Here is an 8,129-nt window from a genome sequence, read left to right as displayed (position 1 = left end):
AATGGTTTTAAAAGTCCTAAATCTTAAAATAAAAGGTTGATATGCACAGAATAGAACATCTTGAAATAATAAAACTTACAGGAATTATAGAACTATAACACAATGAAGAAAACAAATTTTTAGGTAACAACATAATGGCTATAACAGTACCTCACATCTCAATACTAATGTTGAATATAAATGATCTAAACGCTTCAATTAAAAGATACAGATTTACAGAAATAATTAAAACAATCACAAAATTAAATCTGCTCTCTTCAACATACTTACCTAACATTTAGGGATTCGTACAGACTCAAGGTACAGAAGTAGAAAATGATGTCCCATGCAAATGGATACTAAACGCAAGCAGTAGTAACTATTCTTTTATTTATTTATTTTTTTTTGACAGAGTCTCGATCTGTCGCCAAGTTTGGAGTGCAGTGGTGCAATCTCGACTCACTGCAACCTCCACCTTCCCGGGTTCACTCCGTTCTCCTGCCTCAGCCTCCTGAGTAGCTGGGACTACAGGCACCTGCCACAACGCCTGGCTAATTTTTTGTATTTTTGGTAGAGACAGGGTTTCACCATGTTAGCCAGGATGGTCTCAACCTCCTGATCTCGTGATCCGCCCTCCTCGGCCTCCCAAAGTGCTGGGATTACAGGCGTGAGCCACCGCGCCTGGCCATAACTATTCTTATATCAGATAAACCAGACCTTAAAGCAAGAACATTAAAAAGTAAAAGGACATAGAAGGTCATTATATAATAAAAAGATCAATCCAATAAGAATATATTACAGTCCTAAATGTATATGCACCTAACTCTGGAGCTTCCAGATTTGATAAACAATAAATACTAGTCCTAAGAAAGGAATAGGCAGCAACACAATAATAGTGAGAGACTTCAACACTTTTCACTGATAGCACTAGACAGACCATTAAGGCAGAAAGTCAACAAAAAAAACAATGGATGTAAACTGTATTCCAGAACAATTTGAACTTAACAGATATTTACAAAATACTCTACCCAAGAATATATGCTACTACAGAATATACATTCTTCAGATCAGCACATGAAATGTTGTTTAAGATAGGCCATATGATAGGCCACAAAACGAGTCTCAATACATTTAAAAAAAATCAAAATCATGTCACATATCTTCTCAGATCATAGTGAAATAAAACCAGAAATCAATTGCAAAAGGAATCATCAAAACTACAGAAATACATGCAAATTAAACAACTTGTTTCTGAAATATTTTTGATTTAACAATAGAATCAATAAATGGTGCTGGGAAAACTAGATAGCCACATGTAGAAAAATGAACCTGGATCCCTATGTGTCACCATATGCAAAAATCATCTCAATAAATGAAAGACTTAAATCTATGACCTGAAACCATATAAATTCTAGAAGAAAACTTAGGAAAAGCTCTATGGATAATGGTCTAGGCAAAAAAATTGTGACTAAGACCCCAAAAGCAATTGCGATGGAAACAAAAATCAATGGGACCTAATTAAACTAAAAAACTCCTGCATAGCAAAAGAAATAATCATCAGCATAAACAGACAACTCACAGAAGAGAAGAAAACATTTGCAAGCTATAAATCTGACACAGAACTAATATATGGAATCTATAAAAAACTCAAGTCAGCAAGAAAAAAAACCCATTGAAAAGTGGGCAAATGACATGAATAGATGTTTCACAAAGAAGATATACAAATGGCCAACAAACATATGAAAAAATGTTCAACAGCACTCATCATCAGGGAAATGCAAATTAAAACCACAGTGAGATACCACCTTACTCCTGCCAGAATTGTAATTATTAAATAGTCAAAATACAATAGATGGTGTGGATGCAGTGAAAAGGGAATGCTTATACACTGCTGGTGGGAATGTTAATTGGTACAGCCTCTATGTTATGATAGGAAGGAGGACCATTAATTTCAGCCCACCAAATTGTCACTTTATCATATATGTATGTATATTAACTCCCACTTATTTAATATGAGATTATATATTGAAAACTTTATATCTTCAAAATTTTTAATAACCTTTGCCAATATTCTTTCTCAAACTTGGCTATTATCTTTCCTATTTTTTTACATTAAGTTTTAGTAGTAAAAGCTATCTTGTAGCATGATATTAGAGTAAAATATGGGCTTTAGAGATAGACCGATATGAGCTTCAATCCTGCTACTCCAGATGTATTTCTTATTAAAAAATGGCCCAATTATCCAAACTCTAAAAGCCTGTTTCTTTATCTGTGACAGGGAAATTGTGTGCCTCAAAGAGCTGCTGTAGGTATTAAGTAAAACAATGAATGCAAAATGTTTTCTTTAATGCCATGTAGATGATAGACGTGTAACAGATGTCAGCTCTCTCAATTCTGAATTTCTTTAGTGGAAATGCACCCTTTTTATTCAGAACCAAAATAATGGAGTTATTTTCATACTTTTTTTTCTTTTATATTTAGTCACATAACAAAACTAGTGGTATTTTCTTAAACCTATCTATTTTCATAATATCCTATTTTTTCTTTTTTTTATTGCTCCCATCTTGATTAAATTCTTCACACCTGGCATACCTAACCTTCCTATCTGTATGCCTTGTTTCTCTAAATCCCCATTTTCTTCAACTTATTGTGTTTCTGCTGGGTATTACCATCAATTAAACTTCATTAAACATTGCCTTTATAATTTTACTTCCCTGATCAATGACCCTCAGTAGCACTGTGGTTCCTAATGACTCAATGTCTAGTTATATTATCTGTTAATAATTATGAATTTGTGGACCTGGATAAGGATATTTCAGTTAATTCACATGTATACTCTTCCCTTGTGGAAGGCAATCCTTTTGTGGAATAATTTTTCCAATGCTAATTCCATGCCCAAATCGTTGTCTGAATTTTCATGGCCCAGAACACTTTTGTAGACTTTCTTGCAGCACACAAGTAACAGAGAAAAGGAGAGAAGCTATGAGACAGCCTTCTTTTGCTCTAGTTATTGCTCAAATTATCAAGCTTATCCTGGCTTTTGTCTTCACTCAGGCTTCTGTTAGTTATAAAATAATCAGAACCTTTTTTTCTTTGCTTCTATCCATCCAAACTCTAACCAAAATCTTAGGCCTTTTCTGGGTTCTGATAAACTTTGAAATTTGTACTATTCAAATTAACATATAACAATGACAAATAATGTCAGTTTTACCACTTTGAATCCTATGTGTATGTGACTTTTACTTTATCCAACAGTAACCTATTTTGGATGAACAGTCAGTGCTCTTGTTATGTATTTCCTAAGTTCTGCTCTGGGGATCCAACATTCTTACTCATTCCCATAAAGTTTATATCTCTAGCAGTGACTCTGTTCCTTTCATTTTGGGGACTCCTGAATAGTCCTACTGGCCTTGGTTTTATAAATTGCATACCCAAACTGCAAACATATTATGGTTGCAAACAATATTCTATGGTGTGGTCTTTACTTCTAAAATCTGCCCAAGATGATAAACAGGGATTCTCTTAAACATCAGCTAACACTTTTATTCATTCCTTTAAGAAATAATAATACTATGTGTCAAGTTCTTGGTTCTTTTCAGTGAACAAAATAGACAAAGATTCCTGACCTCCTGTAATTTACACAATAGCTGGGGAGCTGGGGAAGGCAAGGAAGCCAAACAGTAATGTAGTTGAGCTTGCTACTCATATTGATAAAAGTTTGAGTTTTCATCCCTACAACAGTTATACTTACTAAACAGAGGACATGGTAGAAGTTCATACTGCCATAAATGGAGTATTTTTGTCTCTCTGAGCCCTAGAGATCTTCACTCATGTACTTCGCTCAACAGGAATGCTTGATAGACATTTGTGGACATGGTAGTATTATCTGCTTAACATACAGGTGAGGAAACTGATGATGAGAGAGTCTATAGAACATGTCTGAGTTTACACTGTTACTGCCAATAATATGAGGTTCAAACCTAGATTGTCTAAGTCATCTCGTCTTTCCATTAGAGCCCTTTGCCCTAAAGCACTCTTCATTATCTGTTTATTATTGTTATAAATACACATTTCCCTTTCTAATAATGTTACTTTCTTAGGGTGGGCCATATATATACCTATACATACTATCCACGTATGCTTCAGGTACATTCCTGTGAAATAAGACTATAGTAGATGCTCAATAATACATGTCCTTGGCTATTCTTACTTAGATGTAAATGTAGGGGACACTTTTAGGACATAAAAAATATGCTTAGTTTGCAGTGAAAGTTTTAAAAGGCTTATTCTGTATTAATTCTGGGAGCTAAATCTTCAATGACAGATGTTGCCATTTCTCTGCAATTTTATTTTCCATTAACTAGAACATTTTCTTCTGCAAGCATATGCTCATTGGTACAGAATAGCTACTTGTGTGTGCAATTACCAATTCTGAATGCACCAATGGATGCACTGACTTCAACTTATACAAGTTTTAAAATTTGTTTGGCTTTGCTCAACTATTTTCTGTAAGTCCTGATGTTAATGCTGTGAACCAAGTAGTTAGAATTGCTTTGAATATCCTCCTAATTGGCCTGCACTGTGAACAATTTGATTAAATGGCAGCTGGATCTTTTGTGTACACTCTGTCTCATAGATATCATTTTACTCCATATGGTGCAGAAGAAAAAAAATCACAGCCAGAATAATTTTTATCTGCCTATCTGACCTACTGTGGTACTTTACTCAGGGAACAGAAGGTTATTGTAGAGGAAGAGATGAAGAAATTGAAAAACATTTCTCTAACTTTTCAAGGTCTCCAACCCTATCCAAAGAGTCTGTAGAAATAAACTGGTGTTTTAAACATTTATGGTTAAAACCTCAAGTTTTAATACTAAAACTAATCTTATTTTCAAATTTTTCATTTTAATAATTACAGTAAATATGATAATACAATAATAAACAGAAGGGTGCTCTGGGGAAGAATTAAGACTAAACATTTTGGCTTTAGAAAATATTTGTAGTCCATGTCTTGAATTAACATGTAATTATCAATCTTATGAAATACTTTATATAAAAGCTCATTTCTGAAAAGATAATCATTACAGGCAGTTGCCAGAAAATTATCAAGTACAAAGAAAATTATGAATTTCTATATAATAGAACTCCGATAACTTTTAGAGTAAGTTTTGATATTGACGTGATGTTTTTTACCTACTTTGCTCATAAGGGTGGATTTATTAAAAATGTGCTTTTGTGCCAGGATATTTTTTACCTTTTAGAGAGGAAAATAAACATTTGACTTCATGTTTTCCAGTTGAGCTAATTAATTGTGTAACAGCGGTCATTGCAAATTGATTGCCTATCAGTGGCCAATTACTATAGCCTCTATGTTTTCTGTGAGTATTGAGCTCCTGTTATTTTTTTATTTTGACACAAAACAATATCCTTTCCATGTGGCAACTGAAAATTTCTGGAGCAAAATCTGGTAGAATATGTTGAGCAGCACATTCATCTAGCTGCTATAAATGGAGCCAGTGGGAAATATTTCTCTTTATTCTACAGAAAGGTTAATTTTAAGAAAATGAATTCAAATGTGGGAATATTAAGTGAAAATGTTCAATTTACAAAACTTTCAATAAAACCTAAAGAAAAGTATTTTTTAAAGTTTCCTTCAACCATTGAGACATATAAACTGAAGAATGAGTATTTCAACATTGTCTTTTTAAAAAGAAAAATAATTTACTGATAAAACATAGATAAAACAGGTTTCTGTGTTTGATAGCGATTTCTATAGTGGAAATTGTATATATACACATATATACATATATATATATATATGTGAAAGCTTTCCTAATAGATACAATAAAGGTAAACATAAAATAAATTTTTGTGAAATGATTTCCATATTAACCTTTAGGTACCAGTGTCTTCGGACTTTAAAAAACAGTTTCTTTCGTATTTGCGACAAATTCATTGTAGATAAAATTCCCATTTAAATTATCATTTGGATTCCCAAAATTCTGTAGTGAATAACATATGTCATCTATATATTTATATATATATAGTTATTATATATGGCAAAATTGCCAAAAAAGTAAATTTCAAATGTTCTTACCACAAAAAGACAAGTATTTGACAAGATGAATATGTTAATTAACTTGACTTAATAATTCCACACTGTATGCATATATCATAATATCACTTTGTGCCCTCTATGTATGTGTGTGTGTGTGTGTGTGTGTGTGTGTGTATGTGTGTGTGTAGAGAGAGAGAGGGAGAGAATTAGGTTCTTAGTTTCCAGCTTTCTCTTCACATATCACAAAATGTAAAGGTTGAAGGTTTTTTCTTGATAAATTCTGGTGGACCAAAGTATAGGAGTTCTATACTCAGTTCTGAAATGAGACCTAGATGAGTTCATTTTCTTTGCTTTTACATGCTGTTTCTAGATCATACTTTGTGTTCAAACTTGATTATCTGGGATCAAAATCAGCAATCATAATATAACTGCGTAGTAGATATACTCGTTGAAAATCTTACTCATTGTAAAAGTACCTATTGGTATTTACTGATCCATAAAACTATATGCTTCCTCCTTTCTGAGATTTAAAATCTACACTTTGCTGAAAGAAAGCATGACCAAAATATATTACATAATTCCCATGTATTACCAATATTGTTTTACACATTGTAGAATTTTACTTTTCACATATTCATAAAACTAGCATATGTAACAATGCTGTGTAGGAAAAGAGTAAGAAAGGACAGCAGAGATTACATTCTAGAAATATGTGCAAACTTCTAGAAATGCTGGGTAACTATAACAGTCTCTTTAAATCTAGAGCTGTTTGTACAAAAGGGGAAGGGGCAAAGAATATGACGATAAAGAGACTCAATTGGTCAACAGGCAAATAAAAGAATATTCAACCTGTAACAATAGAAATGTACATTACAGTCACACTGAGATATGATTTTACACAAAACAGATTGAAAAATATCAATAAGATTGGTAACACTATGTGTTTATGTGAATGTGAAAAATGAAAATCTTAGATATATCTAGGGAGAAATAAAGCTGGTACAACCACTTTTGGCAAACAATGGCAAAATACGAAGGAAAGCCAAGTTGTACCTACTTTCTGGATATTCTCTGGATACTATGAAACAATAGACAGATAGAAAATGTAACTTAAATCTAGTACTATTTTTAATCGCAACTCTTACTAATATGTGAAGGAAGACATGGACAATATGTTCACTACAGAACAGTTCATAATTAAAAAAACTGAAAACTTTCTAATTCTCCCTATATAGGAGAATGAATTAATAAACTGGTTTATTTATGCAACAAAATGTGTACATTAAAATGCAGAAATTGCATCGACATACATATATTTGTCTATATCTCAAAAGCATAAAGTTAAGGAAAACATATGCAACTGAGAAAAAGCAGAGATATCATGATATTACTCATAAAACATCATAAAACTCACAAAACTTATAGAATATTCTGTGTTTCAACAATATTAAGATATATATTTTTACATCAATATCTGGGTAAATTTTACAATCAATAGCATGTCAAGTTAATTTAGCATAGTTTCTTCCTCATTGATACTTAACTAGAACTAAGTTTAATTATAAATTAAAATGTCTTAGAATTGATGATGGCTTGGTAAATAGGACCTTGAAACCTGCAGAATTCAGAGTTGCAGAAACAGAAAGCACAAATTCCCTGAGCCACTATGATTAAGGTAAGTGGAGCCACGCCTGCTTCCAGTTTTGTTCCTGTACATAGCACTATATAAAAATTATTGATTTAACATTTTTTTTCTAAGTTCTTGAGTAGAGCAAAGTATTCTAGCCAACTATTAATCCAAACAGGTGCTTTAACTTTAGCTTCAAAAGGCAGTTCCATAGATTTATGAAGTTGGCTGGCTCTAGGTTGTGGGATTTGTGATATGACCAGTAGTTCTCTAATCATATGCCCACTCTTACATATTGTTTGGTATGAAATGTAACTTTGGTTTTATATGGTGCTTTATGGGCTCTCATGCCAATGGATCAAATACTCTCTAATCCCTCAACTAGTGGTCCTGATTGATACCAAATGGGCAACAAGATTGTGTATCTATTTCTGTAGGAATGAATTGTTGCCTCTTCTTGGGTGC

The sequence above is a fragment of the Homo sapiens genome, chromosome 11 (assembly GCF_000001405.40).
Source record: "Homo sapiens chromosome 11, GRCh38.p14 Primary Assembly".
NCBI lineage: Eukaryota > Metazoa > Chordata > Mammalia > Primates > Hominidae > Homo > Homo sapiens.
Note: the sequence above shows the minus strand (reverse complement) of the source record.